Raw genomic sequence first — 20,371 nt, 5'->3', positions numbered from 1 at the left:
TGAACCTGGGAGGCAGAGCTTGCAGTGAGCTGAGATCCGGCCACTGCACTCCAGCCTGGGCAACAGAGAGAGACTCCGTCTCAAAAAAATTAAATTAAATTAAATTAAATTTAAAAATTCAAAAACCAAAAAGAAAAAATTATGAAACAAAAAGCAGGTTCTTTGAAATGATGAATAAAATGGATAAACCTCTAGCTAGCAACACTGATGAGAGACACAGAGGACAAAATTACCAATATGAGGAATGGGAGGGTTAGCACTGCAGACCCTACAGACATTAAAAGGATAACCAGGAAGTACTATGAATAATTGTAGTCACATAAATTTAGCAACTTAGGTGAAATGGACCAATTCCTTGAAAGCCACAAACTACCAAAACTCATTAAATAGACAACTTGAACAATCCTATTAAGTATTAAAGAAACTGAATTTGTACTTTAAAACTTTTCTAAAAAGGAAAGTACTGGCTCAGATGGTTTTACCACCAAATTATACAAAATATTTAAAGAAGAAATTTAATACAAATTCTTCAAATCCCTTCCACAAAATAAAACAAGGACAGCTGGCTGGGCGCGGTGGCTCACGCCTGTAATTCCAGCACTTTGGGAGGCCGAGGTGGGCGGATCACAAGGTCAGGAGTTTGAGACCATCCTGGCCAACATGGTGAAACCCCATCTCTACTGAAAATACAAAAAATTAGCCAGGCATGGTGGCAGGCACCTGTAATCCCAGCTACTCCGGAGACTGAGGCAGGAGAATCGCTTGAACCTGGGAGGTGGAGGTTGCAGTGAGCCAAGTCTGCACCATTGCATTCTAGCCTGGGTGACAGAGCGAGACTCCATCTCAAAAAAAAAAAAAAAAAAGGACAACTTCCCAGACTCATTTTATAAGCCCAGCATTATCCCCATACAGAAACCAGGACTAAAAAAGAAAACTATGCAACTTTGTTGAACACAACTGCAAAAATCCTCAACAAACACATTTGACTCTTATGACCCATGGCAGCTAGTGTATAAAGTTGCTGCAAACACTGAATTAAAGAATATGCTAAACTATTGCTCCTAAGGGAAATGCAAAGTTCTGTTCCTGCAAGCTTCTGGTCACATTTTTGTTAAATGATCAATATATTAATAAAACCTTCTTTTATGTGTATTTTTGTTTAAGGGCACCTTACTTAATATGTATTGTATCACTAACATTGAACTCATGGCCAACAGCGCTAACTCTTGCACGAATGAAGCTTATCCAATGTGTGTTTTCTCTGTAAAGTGCATCTCAGCCTTCTTGCATTTCTGCACTATGCTGAGACGCCATTATAAACAGTGAAATCACCAAGAAAAAGCACAAAAATGCACACACATGACACCAAATATGCTACCAGTAAAGAGAGTCCCGATTGAGACCCCAAGAGGGTTCTTGGATCTCACACAGAAAGGAATTCACCGCCCCCCCGCATTCCCCCACCCTATTCCCCGCCCCCCAACACCCCCAGCCCCACCCAGCCCGGCCCTGGCTCCGCGCCTCCCCCAGCCCCGCCCCGCTTCAGAGGCCCGGACCCCGACGGCGGCGGCCCCGGGACCCACGGCGAGCGGGAAAGGCAGAGTGGCTGCAAATGGAAAACGACGGGCGCCGCGGGGCTGCAGGCGCTTCCGCCCCCGCCCCGGGCCTGGACCTTCGGGGTCACCTGACTCCGACCTGCCCGGGCCGGGCGGCACGGGGGGTAAAGTCCGGGCCGGGGTCAGGAGCGCGGCTGCGGGCCGTGGGGGGCGGGGTCCCGGAGTTCTGCCCCTCGCAGCTCCAGGCTCCTCCTCAGCTTCCCTCTCCTGCCTCCCACCCCCCCGGGGGCGGGGCGACCCTGGGCACCGAGACAGACCCGCGGGTGGGAGATGCGGGGAGACCCTGGGCGGGGGACCCGAGGGTGGAGTGGGCGGGGCGACCTTGGGCGCTGGCCTCAGCCTGCGGGCCCTGGAGCCAGGTGCACAGCGCATCGCCCGAGGCTGTCACCGCCCTGCCCCGCCCACCCCAGCTGTCCTGGACCCAGGGGCAGGGAGAGGCTGGACGCCAGGTGCGCGGACACAGAAGCGTCTAAGCACAGCTTCCTCCTTGCCGCTCCGGGAAGTGGGCAGCCAGCCCAGGTGAGGGTCCAAAGGGATGTCCTGGGGGGGCTGTCCTGGTCTGGGGGGCTGTCCTGGTCTGGGGGGCTGTCCTGGTCTGGGGGGCTGTCCTGGTCTGGGGGGGCTGTCCTGGTCTGGGGGGCTGTCCTGGTCTGGGGGGGCTGTCCTGGTCTGGGGGACTGTTCTGTCTGAGGGGGTGTCCTGGTCTGGGGGGGCTGTCCTGGTCTGGGGGGCTGTCCTGGTCTGGGGGGCTGTCCTGGTCTGGGGGGCTGTCCTGGTCTGGGGGGGCTGTCCTGGTCTGGGGGGCTGTCCTGGTCTGGGGGGGCTGTCCTGGTCTGGGGGACTGTTCTGTCTGAGGGGGTGTCCTGGTCTGGGGGGGCTGTCCTGGTCTGGGGGGCTGTCCTGGTCTGGGGGGCTGTCCTGGTCTGGGGGGGGCTGTCCTGGTCTGGGGGGCTGTCCTGGTCTGGGGGGGCTGTCCTGGTCTGGGGGGCTGTCCTGGTCTGGGGGGGCTGTCCTGGTCTGGGGGACTGTTCTGTCTGAGGGGGTGTCCTGGTCTGGGGGGGCTGTCCTGGTCTGGGGGGCTGTCCTGGTCTGGGGGGGCTGTCCTGGTCTGGGGGGGGCTGTCCTGGTCTGGGGGGCTGTCCTGGTCTGGGGGGGCTGTCCTGGTCTGGGGGGCTGTCCTGGTCTGGGGGGGCTGTCCTGGTCTGGGGGACTGTTCTGTCTGAGGGGGTGTCCTGGTCTGGGGGGCTCTCCTGGTCTGGGGGGGGCTGTCCTGGTCTGGGGGGCTGTCCTGGTCTGGGGGACTGTTCTGTCTGAGGGGGTGTCCTGGCCTGGGGGGCTCTCCTGGTCTGGGGGGGGGCTGTCCTGGTCTGGGGGGCTGTCCTGGTCTGGGGGGGGCTGTCCTGGTCTGGGGGCTGTCCTGGTCTGGGAATCTGTTCTGTGTGAGGGGGTGTCCTGGTCTGGGGGGCTCTCCTGGTCTGGGGGGGGCTGTCCTGGTCTGGCGGGGGCTGTCCTGGTCTGGGGGGCTGTCCTGGTCTGGGGGGCTGTCCTGATCTGGGAGTCTGTTCTGTGTGAGGGGGTGTCCTGGTCTGGGGGGGCTGTCCTGGTCTCAGGGACTGTTCTGTGTGAGGGGATGTCCTGGCCTGGGGGACTCTCCTGGTCTGGGGGGGCTGTCCTGGTCTGGGGGGGCTGTCCTGGTCTGGGGGGCTGTCCTGGTCTGGGGGGGCTGTCCTGGTCTGGGGGACTGTTCTGTCTGAGGGGGTGTCCTGGTCTGGGGGGCTCTCCTGGTCTGGGGGGGGCTGTCCTGGTCTGGGGGGCTGTCCTGGTCTGGGGGACTGTTCTGTCTGAGGGGGTGTCCTGGTCTGGGGGGCTCTCCTGGTCTGGGGGCACTGTCCTGGTCTCGGGGGGGCTGTTCTGGTCTGGGGGGCGCTTTCCTGGTCTGAGGAGCTGTTCTGATCTGGGAGGCTGTTCTGGTCTTGGGGGTCTTTTGAGTGTGGGAGAGGTTGCCCCAACCTCTTTGCCTACCTGGAGGCTCAGGCCTGGGGGTCTCAGGTGGCTACATCTTCTGGGTGTGGAGTCCCTGTGTTCCTGGCCCCTGTCACCTGTTTGTCCCTATGAGGTGGCCTATGGCCTGGGTGCTGGTTGGGGACACAGGCTGGGCCCTGTCTGGGCTGGACCGGCCTCCTGTCCTCTCTGAGCCTCTGTCATCTACCCTCCTTAAAATGGGCTTATATCCCCCGGACATACAGAATTGCGTGAGGACCCCACAGCGTGTCCCACTTTCCACGTGCCCAGGAGCCCCAGGTCAGGACCAGGGCAGCACCCGCGCCTGCCACTCAGTGTGGGTGCAACGTTTCCCGGGGGAACACGATAGGACACGGTCACATGGGGTTCAGGTGCCGGGACCTTGGCAGGCAGCCTCTGGCTTTGACCACTCCTTTGGCAGTGGTACCCGTGTGAAGTGGGGCTGTATGGGGCACAGGGTCGGCCTGGGGTAGTTTGAGAGCTGAGACCCTTGCTGGGCGTTTGGGCAGAGGAGGAGGTGGACACCTCGGCCACAGGGCTAGAGAAGCCCAGGCCCCTCAGATGGCATCCCTGGGTCCACCTCCCGACCAGGCGCCATCTGGCACCAGCTAAGAAGGTGCAGAGTCAGATTAGGGAAGCCTTGGGCTGGATTTCCAGAGAAACCGATGTTGTTAAGAAGCCTCACACTCGGCTTCCTAGGATGGCTGGCCTCACCCTGGGTTCACCCACAGCCCCTCGGCAACAGTCCCCTCAGGGCTCCAGAGAGAAACCCCCACCCTAGGAGTGCCTGGGGTGGGGGCCGCAGAGAGGAGGCAGAGCCCTGGGCCCCCAGTGCAGGCTGGAGCTGTGGCTGCTCCTGGGGAGGGTGGCACGGGAGAGGCAGGACCGAGGGGTGGGGACACAGGGTGGCCCCATCACATGGTGGGGGCAGCTCCGCGAGTCCCATCCGAGGGGGTCCGAGGGGGCTACTTGGATCCTGCTGGGGCTGTGTCCCCAGACGAGGCCTCTGCTGCCCCCCGCCCCCCTCCCACAGGGCCCTCTGATGCCCATGGCACCCCTGGCAGGCGTGGCTCCTGGGGAGTGGTCCTTGGCCACGGGAGGCGTCTGAGCCCCGGGGATGCCTCTATGGCCACGGGAGACCGTCTGAGCCCCGGGGATGCCTCTATGGCCACGGGAGGCCGTCTGAGCCCCGGGGATGCCTCTATGGCCACGGGAGGCCGTCTGAGCCCCGGAGATGCCTCTATGGCCACGGGAGGCCGCCTGAGCCCCGGAGATGCCTCTAAGGCCACGGGAGACCGTCTGAGCCCCGGGGATGCCTCTATGGCCACGGGAGGCGTCTGAGCCCCGGAGATGCCTCTAAGGCAAGTGGCTGTCCAGGGGTGCGTCTCCAGGGAGACGGGGAGCGAAGCCTCTGCCTCTGGAGGGCGGGATGGGGACACCAAGTGCAGCCTGGGTGCCCACGGCCGTCCCCCCACAGGAACCAGTACCACCTGCACCATGGGGCTGTCCCGGAAGGAGCAGGTCTTCTTGGCCCTGCTGGGGGCCTCGGGGGTCTCAGGCCTCACGGCACTCATTCTCCTCCTGGTGGAGGCCACCAGCGTGCTCCTGCCCACAGACATCAAGGTGCGTCCCCGCCGGCAGGGGAGGCCGGGCCGGGTCCACAGGTGTTGCCTCCCACTCATCCCACTGTCTCCCCAGTTTGGGATCGTGTTTGATGCGGGCTCCTCCCACACGTCCCTCTTCCTGTATCAGTGGCTGGCGAACAAGGAGAATGGCACGGGTGTGGTCAGCCAGGCCCTGGCCTGCCAGGTGGAAGGTTAGTGGGCTGTTCTGCAGCCCGGTGCTGGGACCTGCCTGTTGCTGCCTGGCTGGGATTCCCAGCTGCACGGAAAGGGTTTGGAGAGGTTCAGTGACTTGGCTGAGCTCACACGCCGGGCATGGGTGCTGGGCCGGAGCCTGCGTTCACGCGGTGGCACTCTGGGGACCTCCCTGCCTGATCCTGGTGAGCAGTCAGATTCTCATGGCCTGGCCTGGGTCTGCCCAGCATCTGCTGCCTCCAGCCCTGACCCTCTCTGGCCCCTGGTGCTCCCCACCCTGGCACCACGTGGTGCTGGCAGCCGAGGCTGGTAGTTACAGGGGTGCCTGCACTCCAGGATCCTGAGAGGGGAAAACAGGAGGCCCCGAATTTGTTTCCTGGGGGCTCTGGTAACAAATTACCACAAATTGGGGGCTTAAAACAGTAGCAGCTTATTTCTCAGCATTCTAGAAGTCTGAAAACAAGGTGTGGACAGGGCCGCACCCCCTCCAGAGGCTCTGGGTTAGGGTCCTTCCTGCTTCCTTCAGCCTGAGCACTCCACGCAGCCCTTGGCTGGTGGCTGCACCAGGGGGCATGAGGTGGTCATGTCTTTGGGGGCTACCTTTCAGCCCAGCCAGCCTGCGGGGTCTGGAGCTCTGTCCCCGGCTGCTGTTCCAGGGCCTGGAATCTCCTCCTACACTTCTAATGCTGCACAGGCTGGTGAGAGCCTGCAGGGCTGCTTGGAGGAGGCGCTGGTGCTGATCCCAGAGGCCCAGCATCGGAAAACACCCACGTTCCTGGGGGCCACGGCTGGCATGAGGTTGCTCAGGTGAGGCAGGCATGGCCTTGGCACCCACGGGGAGTGGCTGCAGAAGCCATGGTCTCAGCCAGCGTGGCAGGCAGGGTGGGGCCGGGCCCAGGCTTCCAGCCAGCTCCAGCCCCTGGTCCTCTGTGCCCAGCCGGAAGAACAGCTCTCAGGCCAGGGACATCTTTGCAGCAGTCACCCAGGTCCTGGGCCGGTCTCCCGTGGACTTTTGGGGTGCCGAGCTCCTGGCCGGGCAGGCCGAAGGTGCCTTTGGTTGGATCACTGTCAACTACGGCTTGGGGACGCTGGTCAAGGTGCCACAGGCTGCCTGAGGGCGGGGGCTGGTCTGCGAGGGGCTGGTGTCTGGGGCTGGCTGACCGGGACGGGGTCCGGGTGGCTGCTCCCAGCTGAGTGGCCCCTTCTGTGCCCAGTACTCCTTCACTGGAGAATGGATCCAGCCTCCGGAGGAGATGCTGGTGGGTGCCCTGGACATGGGAGGGGCCTCCACCCAGATCACGTTCGTGCCTGGGGGCCCCATCTTGGACAAGAGCACCCAGGCCGATTTTCGCCTCTACGGCTCCGACTACAGCGTCTACACTCACAGCTACCTGTGCTTTGGACGGGACCAGATGCTGAGCAGGCTCCTCGTGGGGCTGGTACAGGTCAGCTGGCCCTGGGGAGGGTGCATGGGGCTGTGGGAACAGGGCTATGGGCACAGGGCTGGCGTGGGTCATCCGGCCCCGGGGAGGGGGCACAGGGTATGGGCGCGGGGCTGGCGTGGGTCATCCGGCACCGGGGAGGGCGCACAGGGTATGGGCGCGGGGCTGGCGTGGGTCATCCGGCCCCGGGGAGGGGCACAGGGCCGCAGGTGTGCGGCTGGTGCTCAGGCCTCCCTGCCCTCTGCAGAGCCGCCCGGCTGCCCTGCTCCGTCACCCGTGCTACCTCAGCGGCTACCAGACCACACTGGCCCTGGGCCCGCTGTATGAGTCACCCTGTGTCCACGCCACGCCCCCGCTGAGCCTCCCCCAGAACCTCACAGTTGAAGGGACAGGCAACCCTGGAGCCTGCGTCTCAGCCATCCGGGAACTTTTCAACTTCTCCAGCTGCCAGGGCCAGGAGGACTGCGCCTTTGACGGGGTCTACCAGCCCCCGCTGCGGGGCCAGTTCTATGTGAGCACCTACACTGCCCCCACCAGGGGTCCGGGCTTCCTTGTGAGGCCTCAGGTGCCTGTCTGACTCCAGCAGGCCCAGGAGGGGCCCAGGCTGGCTCTTAGGGGCTCTGGGAGCCCGGGTGGGGTGGATCTGGCCCAGCGTGGCCACAGCGAAGGCACAGCCACCTCCCCTCTCACTCAGGCCTTCTCCAACTTCTACTACACCTTCCACTTCCTGAACCTCACCTCCAGGCAGCCCCTGAGCACGGTCAACGCCACCATCTGGGAGTTTTGCCAGAGGCCCTGGAAACTGGTGGGTGGGCCCTGGGCTCCCTGGCTGCAGCGAGGGTCCCTGAGGGTACAGGGCTGCCTCGGGCAGGATGCTGGAGCCTCATTCTGGGCAGCACGGCCAGCAGGGCCGGGGGAGGCAAGGGCAGAGGACAGCTCCAGGCCGTGCCACTCCAGGTAGGAGGCTGTGGCCACGGCCGCAGCTGGGCCCAGCCTCTGGCCCGCCAAGAAGGGGCCGCAACCCGCACCACGTAACTGGTCGGTGGGGCCAGGGAGGGGCTCTCTACCACTGCCCGGCACCCTCTTGTTGTCTGCGTGCTCAGGTTGGCCAGGACAGATGGGGCGGTCCCCGCATGACTGGGGATCAGGGGCCCTCACCTCGCCTCTTGGTCTCCTGGGCCCCAGGTGGAGGCCAGCTACCCTGGGCAGGACCGCTGGCTGCGGGACTACTGTGCCTCAGGCCTGTACATCCTCACCCTCCTGCACGAGGGCTACGGGTTCAGCGAGGAGACCTGGCCCAGCCTCGAGTTCCGAAAGCAGGTGACTGCCTCCCCTGGGCGTGGGCGGGGCGTGGGCGTGGGCAGGTCGTGGTCCTGGGGTAGCTGCCCCGCAGCCCTGAGCAGCCGTGTGTCCCGCAGGCGGGCGGTGTGGACATTGGCTGGACACTGGGCTACATGCTGAACCTGACCGGGATGATCCCGGCCGATGCGCCGGCTCAGTGGCGGGCAGAGAGCTACGGCGTCTGGGTGGCCAAAGTGGTGTTCATGGTGCTGGCCCTGGTGGCGGTGGTGGGGGCTGCCTTGGTCCAGCTCTTCTGGTTGCAGGACTAGTGGGAAGGCGGAGGTGGGCCCCCACAGAGCCCACAGGCAGCTGCGTCCCGGATGCTGGAGGCTTCCTGAGCCCTGAGCGCCGTGGGGCCTTGCTCTGTGGCTCTGCCCACGGTCAGGTGACAGCCACCTCCAGGGCACCGTCAGGGTGGTGCTGGCCACAGAGGCTGCATGACCTCCCCTCCCGGCGTCCCTCCCCCAACCTCCTTCCGCAACTGGGCTTCCAGGGCCGTAGGTGCCTTTCTGCACACAGGCCGCCAGGACTCGTGGTGTCTCCAGGCTGTGTGACTGCAGGGCCACATGCTGCCTGCAAACAGGGCAAGACCACGGAGGCACAGGGGTCCTGCTCCTGATGGGGCCTCAGGAGGGGCGGAGAGGGGTGGAAGGGAGGGAGCTGCCCCACCTGGACCCCCGCTCTCCCTGCTGTTGTCTGAGCAGATGGATGGAGTCCAGGCCTGGGGGCTTCTGCTGGGCCAGCCCGGCCTCCCACACCCACTTGGAGGGTGAGACTGCAGTGGGGGTTGTTTTTATTAAAAGCATCATGGACACAGCATCATTAGGGCTGATCTCCCTGCTGGGATCGGGGCAGGCGGCCGGGGGCTCCTGACATCCGAGGGCCGGCGGGGACCACGAAGCACTTGGGGAAGATGCCGATGCGGCCGTCACAGTGGCCCTCCAGCCATGCCTGGTCCACTGCAAGGGGGACATCGGGCTCTGCAGGGCGTTACCCAGGCGTGGCCTCTGGGTGCCACGTCTGCTCACAGCACAGGCCGAGCTCTAAGCCCCCCACACCCCGGGCACCACGGTGCTGCCTGGGAAGGGCCATGCCCACCCTACCTTCACACAGGACGTCCACCGTGTCCCCCTGTCGGAAGCCCAGGTCCTCTGGCCCCTGGGCGGAGTAGCTGTGCTGGGCCACCACCTGGTAGAGGACCGGCCGACCCCCGGCTCCCTGAGGCAGGAGAGTGGGCTGCAGGTCGGGCCGGGCACTGGGAGGAGGGGCCTCCACCGCCCCTCAGGGTGCCCCTGCCCCTGCCTCGCCCTTGGCTCACCCTGCACTGCAGCTGCAGCCCCCTGGGGCAGGCAGCTGCGTCCTGCCAGGCCCTCTGCAGCGACTCCTCCTCGGGGATGGGGACCCAGTGCCCGTCCTCACCTGGGGCTAGGTAACTGCAAAGAGATTCCTCAGAGGGGGCCTCCTGGGTGGGGCCTGCAGGGAGGGCAGTGACCTCTGCCACCCCCTCTTCCAGCAGCTGCCTCAGTCGGGGCGGTGCCCAGCTCCACCGCAGCCACCGGGGGCTTTCTGGCCCACCTGAGTTGCCCAAGCTGGGCCTGGTGAGGGAGGGCTTGGCCCAGCAGTGCCCGCAGGCTGGACAGGTCGGCTCCTCTTCGTGCCCTCAGGGCCACTGTGAAGGCGCACTGCACGGTGACAGTCACCAGGGGCTCGGAGCCCCCTGCACCTGCTCCCTGGGTCCAGGCAGGAGGGGGAGGGGTGGTCGCTGAGGCCCAGGGCCTGGTCAGGGCCGTCTTCAGCCCGAGGGGTGTGGACAGAGACTGGGCAGGTGAGGGGGGCTTGCAAGCCTTGATTCTGAGGGATGGGGCTTGGCCTCAGCCTCCCTCAGGTGACTGACAGGTGAAGGGTCTAGAGCCTCTTACCCCAGCACCCGCGGGGTCCTCACAGGGGCCGGGGCCAGGCCCCCCCATTGCCGGCAGCCCTGTAGGACAGAGCAAGACTGACACAGCCACTACCACCAAAGTGGGCCCTGTGGGTGGAGGGCAGCCGGCACCCATGCACCAGCAGCTTCCTCCTTCACCCGGGGACCCCGCCGCTGAGGACGCCCATACCTGGGGAGAGAGGAGCCTGTTTGCCAACTTGCTCCACCTGGGGCCTCTGCAAGAGAAGCACAGGCTGGGTGGGCTGGGGCGGTCAGGTGCTGGAGGCCGGTACTGTCCTCGCAGAGCCCACACCAAGGGTGTGGCCTGTGTGCCCGGCCAGCACCCAGCAGGTGGTCTGTGGGTGTTGAATTCAGGGCACTGGCCACAAGTCGGCTGCCTTAGGATGGGGCTGGGTCCCTGCAGACCTAGAGGCTGCCTGTCACCAGGAGGGAGCGCCCCGTCCCCCAAGGCCCACCGAGGTGGCAGCTCCAGGTGGGTGGGCTCCCCAGTGACCCCAGGAAGCTGAGGACCCAGTCCCTGGGCCCCGGCCTCTGTGTGGGCTCGACATTAACCGTGTGCCCTGAGTTGGGCACTGAGCAGGAGACCAGTTCACCAGCTGCAAGTCACAAAGTCACAGCCCAGCGCTGGCTAGACCCTGAGGGTCAGGCATTGCTGTTGTTTTTTGAGAGGGAGTCTCGCTCTGTCGCCCAGGCTGGAGTGCAGTGGCGCCATCTTGGCTCACTATAAGCTCCGCCTCCTGGGTTCACGCCATTCTCCTGGCTCTGCCTCCTGAGTAGCTGGGACTACAGGTGCCCGCCGCCATGCCCAGCTAATTTTTTGTATTTTTTAGTAGAGACAGGGTTTCACCATGTTAGCCGGGATGGTCTCGATCTCCTGATCTTGTGATCCGCCTGCCTAGGCCTCCCAAAGTGCTGGGATTACAGGCGTGAGCCACTTCGCCTGGCTTTTTTTTTTTTTTTTTTTGAGACAGGGTCTTGCTGTCTTGCCCAGGCCGGAGTGGAGTGGCACTGTCATGGCTCACTGCAGCCTCCACCTCCCAGGCTCAAGCAATCCTTCCACCTCAGCCTCCCACGGTGCTGGGATTACAGACCACTGTGCCCGGCCTCGATTGTAACTTATTATTAGATTTATCAGATGGTTGAAGTTGCCTTAGGTTAGGAAGGACGAGAGCTTAAAGGCCCATCGTGGGAACTGGGCAAATAGTTCCAAACCCTGAGGGAATTAGTGAAGCACAGCTTGGAGGGCGCCCTTGCCCCCGGGATGCCACGGTTAAACTGGAAGTGGGCATCCATAAAGAGAGAGTGCCGGGGCTGCTTCCTGATCGCATCCTCAGATGCGCTCAGCGTGAAATGCAGGTGCCTTCTCTGGGCCTCCCGGATCCTGCAGCAGAGCCTCCGCCCACGGCTGCCACCCTGGGAGCAGCTGGGGTTCCTGCCTTCCTCCGCCTCTCCCCAGGTGCCGGGGTGTCCGGGAGGACTCGGGGGATGGAGTCGCTGCTGGGCCCCCATGGGGGGCGGGAGCCTTGGGGCCCCTCCAGAGCTGTCCTGCCTCCCGCCTGTCCCCAGCTGGGTCACTCCTGGTCACTCGCACCCCAGTGGGAGGGGAGGGGCAATGGCCAAACTGAGGTGGTCCTGGGGGCTGAGGGCCTGCAGGGCTACGTGGATGTCTCCACTGGACACCACCTCTCTCCTGTCCTGATGGCCAATGCCCACTCGCCTCGGGCACAGCCAGGCATCCTCCCATCTGGCTGGGCTGGGCCAGGACCACGGGTGAGCCCGGCCCCGTCTACCCCCCAGCGAGCTGCTCCCTCCACCCTCATGTTGGTCCCATTGTGGTCCCCAGTCTGCGGAGGCAGCAGAAGCACCGACCCCCAGCAGGGGAAGAGGCCCAGGCCCACGCACCTGCTCCTGGTAGGCAGTCGACGTGCAGCGGTCAGCACCGACCTCTGTCTCTGCATCGAGGGGGCCCTGGTGGGTGCCAGCTCTTGGGGAGTCCATGATTAGGGACCTAGGGAGAGGAGGGAGGCTCTCAGGCCCTGCCCATCTGACTGCCCTCCTGTGCCCGGCCCGCGTGGCCCCATGTGGAGGGCCTCTGCCCAGCAGGAAAGGCACGCGCTCGCAGGGCCCAGTCAGCCCCTCCTACCTGGCATCATGGTTCGCTCCTGGTCCCTGTGGACACAAAGCAACAACCTCGCTCTGGTTAAGGGTCGGGGGCCGCCCTCCCTCCTCCTGAACCTTGAAGAGTGGTTTCCCCAGGTCTTACACAGGGATGGGATGGCCACCCCACACCTCCCATCAGAGGAACTTCGCAGCCCCAGGAGGGCTCAGAGCTTGTGCAGCATTTTCTTTCCCAGAAAGCTGGGTGAGGCCAGGCAGGGGTCTGAGGGGCCGCAAACCCACCTGTGGCTGCTGAGGGCGGACGCCCCAGCCCTGGTCGTCGGGGATGGCAGAGGCCACCACCTGGCGGGGACAGTGGGGACGCTGGGTCAGGGATCAGCGGCCCAGCAGGGTCTGCTCCCTGCAGCCCGCCCCACCGTGCCCCGCAGCTCTAAGTCCCCGGGGGCTGGGTGACAGCTGCCCATGCCCGGCCCACGTCTGCCAGACCACCATGGAGGGAAATGTCTGATGGAGAAAAACATCTGCTGCAATGTTAACTTATTTTTAGCACAACTTTAAAAACATTTTGGTTTCTTATAAACAGCACTCTACTGTGATATGCGGACTCTAAGTTAATGCATTAACACAGCTCAGAGCCCGGCTTCGCCCACCCCAGGCCTCCCCTGCTGGGCAGCTGCACTGGGCCCAGGAGTCGGCCGTGGCGCAGCGCAGGTGACCGAGGGGGCGTGGCCAGCCAATGGGGCGTGGCCAGTCCGGGGCGTGGCCAGCCAAGGGTGACCCAGTCTTTGCCCACCAGGAGTTCTTCTTCTCCGCCATGTTTCGCCCGCTGCCTTTGGGGGTGAGCAGCTCCCCATTCCTGTGACTTTAGGGGTGTTGCCTGGCTCTGACCCAAGTGTGGGCGTGACGTGGCCCAGACCGTCGGACTGCAGCCCCTGCCCCCGTGAGACCTTGCTATCTGTGGCAGGGACACAGGGACCCCCCCAGGGACCTCGCTATCTGTGGCAGGGACACAGGGAGACCCCCCGGGACCTCGCTATCTGTGGCAGGGACACAGGCACCCCCGCCCCCCGGGACCTCGCTAGCTGTGGCAGAGACACAGGCACCCCCCCCGGGACCTCGCTACCTGTGGCAGGGACACAGGCACCCCCCTGGGACCTCGCTGTCTGTGGCAGGGACACAGGCACCCCCCCGGGGACCTCGCTATCTGTGGCAGGCACACAGGCATCCCCCCAGGACCTCGCTATCTGTGGCAGGGACGCAGGGACCCCCCCCCCCCGGGACCTCGCTATCTGTGGCAGGGACGCAGGGACCCCCCCGGGACCTCGCTATCTGTGGCAGGGACGCAGGGACCCCCCCGGGACCTCGCTGTCTGTGGCAGGGACACAGGGAGACACAAAGGCATGAAAGGACGCAGAGAGACGCAGGGACTCTGGGAGGCTGCAAGGCTGTGGCTGTGGCCATGGCCCAGTCTGGGGGCGGGGTGGCACCTGCAGGGTCCTTGTTGAGAGAGCTGGAGCCCCCTCCTATGCAGCCGGCTCTAGTGGGCTCTGCCTTCAAGCTCACAGCCCCATTTGGGGCACCGCCCCCCTACCGTGGGCGCCAGTTTGAGGATGGCTGTGGGCCCACTCTCTACCCTCCTGGCCCTTACGGTGGCCTGGACTGCACCTCCCCCCATCCCTGGGAACACAGTTCGAGGGCTCAGCACCAGCCGCCATGCCCCAGGACGCCGTCCCCACCTTTACCTTGGCCTTGCCCAGGAAATCCACGGGCTCCAAGTGCTTCAGGTGCCACCGGTGGGGCCGGAAGACCTCGCCCCTGGGGACCTGCCGTGGCGGCAGTGAGCCCCGTCTCTGGAGGGGGTGGGTATCCAGCAGATGCAGACGGGGTGACCAACCAGGCCTGCAGCCGCAGAGCCCCTGTGCCTTGGAGCAGAAGGGGCCGCTTGGGCCCCCCACCCCCTTCCCGCAGGTCACAGGAAGCCCCCGCCTGGCACCCGAAACTGGGCACTAGGGCCATCTCCCTCCGGAAGCTTCTTCATCTCATGAAATTGGTCTTGAGGAGCTTTGGTAGGCACCAGCCCAAAACCATGACCGGGCTGGCACTCCTCACCTGCACTTGGTCCAGGGCTGAGTCCAGGCCATTCAGGGACCCCTCCGGCCACTTGGACATGGCCTCCCTTAGGCTGCTGGCCGCCTCTGTCCAGAGCCCCAGCTGGCACTGTGCCGACGCCACATTGTGTAGCACCTGGGAGTGGGGCCAAGGTGATGGCAGGGGCCTGATGCCCCACCCAGGCCCTCTCCCGGTTCCCCCACCCAGCTCCTCCCTCGGTCTGCCCACCCAGCCCCTCCCCCAGTCCCCCCACCTGGCCCCTCCCCCATCCCCCCACCCAGCCTCTCCCCCAGTCCCCCCACCTGGCTTCTCCCCCGTCTCCCCACCCAGCTCCTCTCCCAATCCCCCCACCCGGCCCCTCCCCTGCACCGTTCTGTGTCCTGGGCTGGCGGGCCCCCACCTGGCTTTAACCCTGACTCCAGACCCACACCAGTGGGCTTTCCCTTCCATCTTTTTGTCCTAAAAGACAATGCTATTCCCAGAAGGCTTCAGGGCGATGCATTTCCGGGGTCTGGTGGGGGGGCCTCTCAGCACCCCTCCTTCGGTGCCAACACGTTCCAGGCAGCCAGGAAAGGGCTGGGGGCACAGTGGAGGGTGGGCACAACCCCCTGCCTGCTCCCTGCCCACCCAGCAGCCTTTCGCCTCTGCCCTCCTTCTGGGTGGAGCCACCCCTGGTGGCCTGAAATGGCACAAAATGGTCCCTCCACCTCCACTGCCACCAGAACCTCCTGCGGGTCAAGGAGTGGCCAGGGTATTCCATGGCACCAAGAGCTTCGGCCAGAGGCGCTCCCCAGTCCACAGGGCCCTCCTGTGACAGTGCCACCGCCCGTGGACACCCCACAGCCAGCAGCACAGTGAGCCCTGCCCGGCCTCACCTCCCAGGCTTGCAGCTTGAACCGCAGGCCCAGCTGCGTGTAGTCGATGGCAGCGTGGCCCCTCAGCTGCTCCAGGGCCAGCCAGAAGTCAGACAGAGCCTCCTGGAACCTGTGGGCAGCCGGGGTCCCCTCAGCAGCACAGGGCGGAGATGGGGCTGTGGTTAGGCAGCTTTCACACCAGCCCCGCTCGAGCCGCCCCCAACACCTGGTTCCAAGGAGACCTGAGGGAGGGCAGTGCGGTGCCTAGGTCTGCACACTCAGGTCTGGTGGGCCAGGGGTCCATGCACATGTGTGCTGAGTGGGTGTGGGGGTCACTGTGTGCTGGGGCTCCACCATTTTCCCAGCTCAGACTCAGCTTCCTGGGCCCCTGCCCGCCCCCAAGCCTCTCTTCTGAACCGTGCAGAGAGCCCTGGTTATTTCCCTCCTGCTTCTCAGGCCCCCCACCCCATGGGGGCTCCCCCTCCAAACTCTGAGCCTCCTTCCAAGCCTTGCTGGGAGCTCCCCAGCGCCTGCCGGAGAGGCCTCTCCTCCAGGCGGGCTTCCCGCGCCGATGTGAAGGAGAGGCTGCCCCAGAGGGGTCTGGATCGTAATCCAGAAAGGGACAGTCCCACAGCCATAATCCCGAATGCTGGGACTCTTCAGTAAAGGAAGAGATGGCTTTTTCGTTCATCTGCCTTTCTGAAAGGTAAAATATCTCCAGATCCGGGCTCTCTGGGCGACTGCGTATGTGGTGGTCCCTGAAGCCTTTGATGGATCTTGTTAGAAGGTGGGTTGTTCATCTTGGTGTTTTGATGACCAGTTATAAAGCCAGGTGCACACAGTCACCAGCCAGAGTCTACGCACCTACGTCTTACCCCTTCTGACCTAGCTCCTCATGAGCACTGTTCATCTGCTCGTAGTTCTCACACCCGTGAGCCTGTCGCTAGCGTGCATGAATTTGTGCTTGAAAAAATATGTATGTTATTTTTGTCTATTTTATCGGCCAATGAAGGGTTCCGTCGTGTTTTTATGTTTCTCAAATAAATCCCTTTAAAATATGTAAATAGGCTGGGCGAGGTGGCTCATTCCTGTAATCCCAGCACTTTGGGAGGCCGAGGCGGGTGGATCACCTGAGGTCAGGAGTTCGAGACCAGCCTGGCCAACATGGTGATGCCCAGTCTCTACTAAAAATACAAAAATTAGCCAGGCGTGGTGGCACATGCCTGTAATCCCAGCTACCCGGGAGGCTAAGGCAGGAGAATCGCTTGAACCCAGGAGGCGGAGGTTGCAGTGAGCCGAGATCGCACAATTGCACTCCAGCCTGGATGACAGAGCAAGGCTCCTTCTCAAAACAATTTTTAAAAAGTAAATAAATATCTTTTACAGAATTTTATTTTTTCTAGAATTATATTTTTTGGGATTTTAGATTTGAGGGGTTTTGATATTTCAGGATTGCGAGGCTCTCGGGACTGTGATCCACTTCCCCACAGAGCCTGCCCTCCTGGGATGGGGCCTGTGAGTGTCTAGCAGAGAGGCCGAGGCATGGCCTGGTCTGCAGTCCCGATGGTCTCCTTTCCCTCATTCCTCCTTTAGGAAGGGACATGGTGCAGAGAGCCCAGGTAAGCAGTGAGGACCCCACGACCTGTGTCCAAGGGTGGCGCTCAGCAGAGGCGAGGGCCACAGTCTCAGGTTTCCCTGGAGCCAGGAACCATGGAGGAGGGGGTGGGCAAGAGGAGGGAGTGGATGGAGAGGGAGGAGGAGGAGGTGCAGGAGTGGACTCTGCAGGGAGACAAAGGGCCGTCAGAGAAGGAACAAGGCACCCCTGTACTCACCTTGCCAGCTGGAAGTTGGCCACTCCTCGCTGGAAGAAGCCAACCGCCATGCAGGTGTCCTTGGTCACGGCTTGGTCAAATGCCTGGGGACAAAAATGCCCACGGGATGCCAAGGTCTGTAACCTGGTCACGCAGCATCACAGATACAGCGTGATGGGTGACAGGGCCACGGAATTCCGTCAGCCCCTGGGGACCCCCCACAGCCCCTCCTGCTCCTGTCCAGGAACCTTCGGAGCCCCTGCCTGGGCAGGGCTGTCGCCACTCAGGTTGCCACAGCCCACCCAACCCCAACCCGTCCAAGGCGCAGAGCCCACTGAGGTGCTGCTAAAACCAATGTGTTTACCATGAGCACAAGGACAGAGGCCAGAAAAAAGTGTTCCAGTATGTTAATAATAGTTACCTCTGGGGAGTGGGGTTATGCAAGATTTTTGTCTTTTAAAAATCCTTTTTTTTTTTTTTGAGACGGGGTCTCGCTCTGTCACCCAGGCTGGAGTGCAGTGGCTCGATCTTGGCTCACTGCTGCCTCCGCCTCTGGGTTCAAGACATTCTCAAACTCCTGACCTCAGGCAACCTTGGCTGTCACATACTGGAGACGAGATAACGCAGTCCAGATCCCAGAGTCAGCAGCTAAAGAACTGCATTACAGGCCGGGCATGTTAGCTCACGCCTGTAATCCTAGCATGTTGGGAAGCTGAGGTGGGCGGATCACCTGAGGTCAGGAGTTTGAGACCAGCCTGGCCAACATGGTGAAACCCCATCTCTACTAAAAATACAAAAATTAGCTGGGCATGGCGGCACGCGCCTGTAGTCCCAGCTACTCGGGAGGTTGAGGCAGGAGAATCGCTTGAACCCGGGAGGTAGAGGTTGCAGTGAGCCAAGATCGCACCACTGCACTCCAGCCTGCAAGACAGAGCGAGATTCCGTCTCAAAAAATAAATAAAATAAAAATCCTTTTTTGATAGTTCATGCAAAATGACACCCTAGAAATCTATTAGAATCAGAAAGAACAACACACGTCTTCATGTGTTTATCTGTGTGTAAAGCACAGCTCTTCCTTAAACCAGACTCAGGAGGACACAGAAGGTTCTGAACAGGGACCGTGGCCATCAGTTAAATGTGTGTGACAGGAAGGGTGCTACGGTCTCTTTCACAAATCTGGCTGAGTGGGGGCTTGTCGTTGAACCAAGTTCACACAGGTGTGAAGTGTGGCGGCTGAGCACAGGCACGCAGCCCTGATGTGGGGTGGCGGCTCAGGGCCAGCAGAACCCACCTGTCTGCCCCAAACGTCACGCAAGGCTCCTAACAAGAGACAGCAGTTCCAGCGACACCCTCTGCACCCTGGGCTGCCCCTCACGTGATCGGCTTTATGAATCATAGCTGTTCCATCTGCTTTCCTAAGTTCCCATATTCCTAACATGCATATGCTGTGGGTTAGTCGTATGACTTTCACTGCGTCCCCTCTCTGTAGTGAAACCAGGCACAAGAGCACAAGTGACTGGGTTAGCCCCGGACATAGGATTTGTTGCTGAACCACCTGGTGTCTAAAGATTACATTCCCTTTCTTGGATAACATTTTAAAATGAAATCATTGTGGGCCGGACAAGGTGGCTCACATGTGTAATCCCACCACTATGGGTGGCCGAGGAGGGTGGATCACCTGAGGTCAGGAGTTCAAGACCAGCCTGACCAACATGGTGAAACCCGTTTCTACTAAAAATACTAAATTAGCCAGGCGTGGTAGTGGGCGCCTGTACTCCCAGCAACTAGGGAGGCTGAGGCAGGAGAATTGCTTGAACCCGGGAGGCAGAGGTTGCAGTGAGCCAAGATTGGGCCACGGCACTCCATTCAGCCTGGGTGACAGAACGAGACTCCATCTTTGAAACAAACAAAAAAATGAAATCATTATGGAGGTGATTGTAAATTTGTACGCAGCTTTAAGACACAAGAGAGGGGGGTCTCATGCGCTTTGCCCAGTCTCCTCCAAGGGGGATATTTTGCCAGTCAGGGGCGTGGAGACCCTCCCACAGCGCGCAGTTCCCTCTCCTTTAAATCACTGCTGTCACCGAGCCTTCAGTAACCGTGGGCACCTGCCTGCTTCTGCGGGGTGCTTGGGACTGAGCGGGGGTGGGCAGCGCTGGCGTTTGGGATGCGCAGGAACAGGCGGCCCCGGAACGCGAGGGGGCACGAGAAGGGCACCGGGCTCCGTGCAGGGCCTCGGCCGCTGCACCCTGGCACCCTGGACTCCTGGCTGTTTCGGGGAGTGGGCTGGGGGAGGGCTGAGGGCTCTGAGGAGGAGACTGACCCGGTCTCCCGGCCATGACCACAGGCGCAACGCTTTCCCCTTAGGGCAGGGCGGTCCCTCGGGCCTGACCCAGCCCAGCAGCTTCCCCCTTCCCGGTGTGAGTCACCCTCGGGCCCCGGCCTCTCCCGGTGACCGCCGCGCCCCCCAGCGCGGCCTCGCTTAGCTCAGGTGCGGCCCCCCTGCTCGGCTCCCACCTGCCGGGGCGTTCGCTGGGTCGGGGGCGGCAGGGCGACCCCGTGACGGTCGGGGAGGGGCGCTGGGCCCTCCCCAGGGGCTCGAGGCGGAGGCGTCGCCCGCACCGGCCTCCCCACGCCCCGCTCACCCGCAGCGCGGCCTCGGGGTCCCCGGCCAGCAGGTGCACGCAGCCCGCGTTGAAGCACAGCCTGGCGGGCGGCGCCGGGACGCCCGAGAAGAGGTGCAAGGCGCGGGCCCAGTCCCCACGATCCACAGCCTGCGCGCCCAGGTGCCAGGCGCGCACCAGGTCCCCCAGAGAGGCCATGGCGGCCGGTGGCGGCGCTCGAGGAGGGGCCAGGATCCCGCGGAGGGGCCGGGGCCGGGGCCAGGCGGCGGCGCGGGGCTGCGGGGTCTCCGAGGCGGGCAGAGGTGCGGGCGCCAAGCGCCAGGTGCAACCCCGCTGCCCCGCGGCGCCCCCTGGCGGCAGGCGCCCGCCCCTCCCCGGTAAGGCCACGCCCCCGCCAGAAACGGCTACGCCCACTCCAGACCCTCAGGCCTCGCCCACCTCCCATTCGGCCCCCGCCCCGGCCGGACTTCCGCCGGGAGCTTTGTGCGCCCGGCTTCCTCGCCCCGCCCGCGCTGGCCTTGGTGCGCCGGATAAAGCCCTCCGGGCCAGCGGCTGCGGTCGGGCCAAGGTTCCGCGCCGGGCGTGGACGGTGTGGGGCGGTCCCGGCCCCGCAGGTGAGCGACCCCGGGCCGCGCGGGCCAGGTGGGCGGTCTGGGCGCCGGGGGCAGAGCGGGGCCG

General features: G+C 63.0%; 3 protein-coding genes across 18 annotated transcripts in view, besides 6 other annotated features; 2 read left to right on the top strand and 1 right to left on the bottom strand.

The window, feature by feature from the left end:
* Positions 1,910-2,204: a silencer, noted in NCBI's record as "tiled region #12030; HepG2 Repressive non-DNase unmatched - State 4:PromP, and K562 Repressive DNase matched - State 4:PromP". NCBI's record gives its function as "represses a minimal TATA promoter and a strong SV40 promoter by Sharpr-MPRA in HepG2 and K562 cells {active_cell/tissue: HepG2 | K562}" and the evidence as "EXISTENCE:reporter gene assay evidence [ECO:0000049][PMID:27701403]".
* ENTPD8 (ectonucleoside triphosphate diphosphohydrolase 8) lies at positions 2,064-9,057 on the top strand. 2 transcript variants are annotated; one of them, NM_001033113.2, is made up of 10 exons: positions 2,064-2,135; positions 5,116-5,261; positions 5,337-5,454; positions 6,112-6,262; positions 6,393-6,552; positions 6,670-6,900; positions 7,145-7,408; positions 7,592-7,702; positions 8,083-8,217; positions 8,316-9,057. In NM_001033113.2, exons 2-10 carry the CDS (start codon positions 5,136-5,138, stop codon positions 8,505-8,507), a joined length of 1,488 nt encoding a protein of 495 aa, NP_001028285.1. In that variant the 5' UTR covers positions 2,064-2,135; positions 5,116-5,135; the 3' UTR covers positions 8,508-9,057. The 2 variants fall into 2 exon arrangements, with proteins under 2 accessions (NP_001028285.1, NP_940987.2); NM_198585.3 differs by lacking the exon at positions 7,592-7,702.
* Positions 7,111-7,160: a silencer, noted in NCBI's record as "silent region_20622". NCBI's record gives its function as "represses an Ori minimal core promoter by ATAC-STARR-seq in GM12878 lymphoblastoid cells {active_cell/tissue: GM12878}" and the evidence as "EXISTENCE:reporter gene assay evidence [ECO:0000049][PMID:35858748]".
* Positions 7,111-7,376: a biological region, named in NCBI's record as "ReSE screen-validated silencer GRCh37_chr9:140330497-140330751".
* Positions 7,122-7,376: a silencer, noted in NCBI's record as "fragment chr9:140330497-140330751 (GRCh37/hg19 assembly coordinates)". NCBI's record gives its function as "represses an EF-1alpha promoter that drives an FKBP-Casp9 reporter gene in an ReSE screen in HepG2 liver carcinoma cells {active_cell/tissue: HepG2}" and the evidence as "EXISTENCE:reporter gene assay evidence [ECO:0000049][PMID:32094911]".
* NOXA1 (NADPH oxidase activator 1) lies at positions 9,015-20,028 on the bottom strand. 8 transcript variants are annotated; one of them, NM_006647.2, is made up of 14 exons: positions 19,715-20,028; positions 17,091-17,173; positions 15,280-15,388; positions 14,405-14,539; positions 14,038-14,145; positions 12,578-12,637; positions 12,321-12,346; positions 12,080-12,185; positions 10,347-10,392; positions 10,158-10,216; positions 9,814-9,968; positions 9,557-9,671; positions 9,342-9,456; positions 9,015-9,218 (listed from the first exon to the last, which is right to left on the bottom strand). In NM_006647.2, the coding sequence occupies exons 1-14, from the start codon at positions 19,889-19,891 to the stop codon at positions 9,061-9,063; spliced, it is 1,452 nt and encodes a 483-aa protein (NP_006638.1). In that variant the 5' UTR covers positions 19,892-20,028; the 3' UTR covers positions 9,015-9,060. The 8 variants fall into 8 exon arrangements, with proteins under 8 accessions (NP_006638.1, NP_001242996.1, XP_011516460.1 ...); NM_001256067.2 differs by having other exon boundaries at positions 9,015-9,197; XM_011518158.4 differs by lacking the exon at positions 14,038-14,145.
* Positions 13,765-14,519: an enhancer, noted in NCBI's record as "H3K27ac-H3K4me1 hESC enhancer chr9:140323354-140324108 (GRCh37/hg19 assembly coordinates)". NCBI's record gives its function as "activates a minimal SCP1, AML or CMV promoter by ChIP-STARR-seq in primed H9 embryonic stem cells {active_cell/tissue: H9 hESC(primed)}" and the evidence as "EXISTENCE:reporter gene assay evidence [ECO:0000049][PMID:30033119]".
* Positions 19,798-20,357: a silencer, noted in NCBI's record as "silent region_20621". NCBI's record gives its function as "represses an Ori minimal core promoter by ATAC-STARR-seq in GM12878 lymphoblastoid cells {active_cell/tissue: GM12878}" and the evidence as "EXISTENCE:reporter gene assay evidence [ECO:0000049][PMID:35858748]".
* EXD3 (exonuclease 3'-5' domain containing 3) overlaps positions 20,259-20,371 on the top strand; it is a 116,267-nt gene continuing 116,154 nt past the window's right edge. For all 8 annotated transcript variants that reach the window (NR_104598.2, NR_104599.2, NM_017820.5 and 5 more), the window contains exon 1: positions 20,259-20,307. The gene's annotated coding sequence lies outside the window, so the exon portion shown is untranslated. The remainder of the gene's footprint in view (positions 20,308-20,371) is intronic.

Source organism: Homo sapiens, chromosome 9 (assembly GCF_000001405.40).
Source record: "Homo sapiens chromosome 9, GRCh38.p14 Primary Assembly".
In the NCBI taxonomy this organism is placed as follows: Eukaryota; Metazoa; Chordata; class Mammalia; order Primates; family Hominidae; genus Homo; species Homo sapiens.
This window is presented reverse-complemented; position numbering and strand designations above follow the sequence as displayed.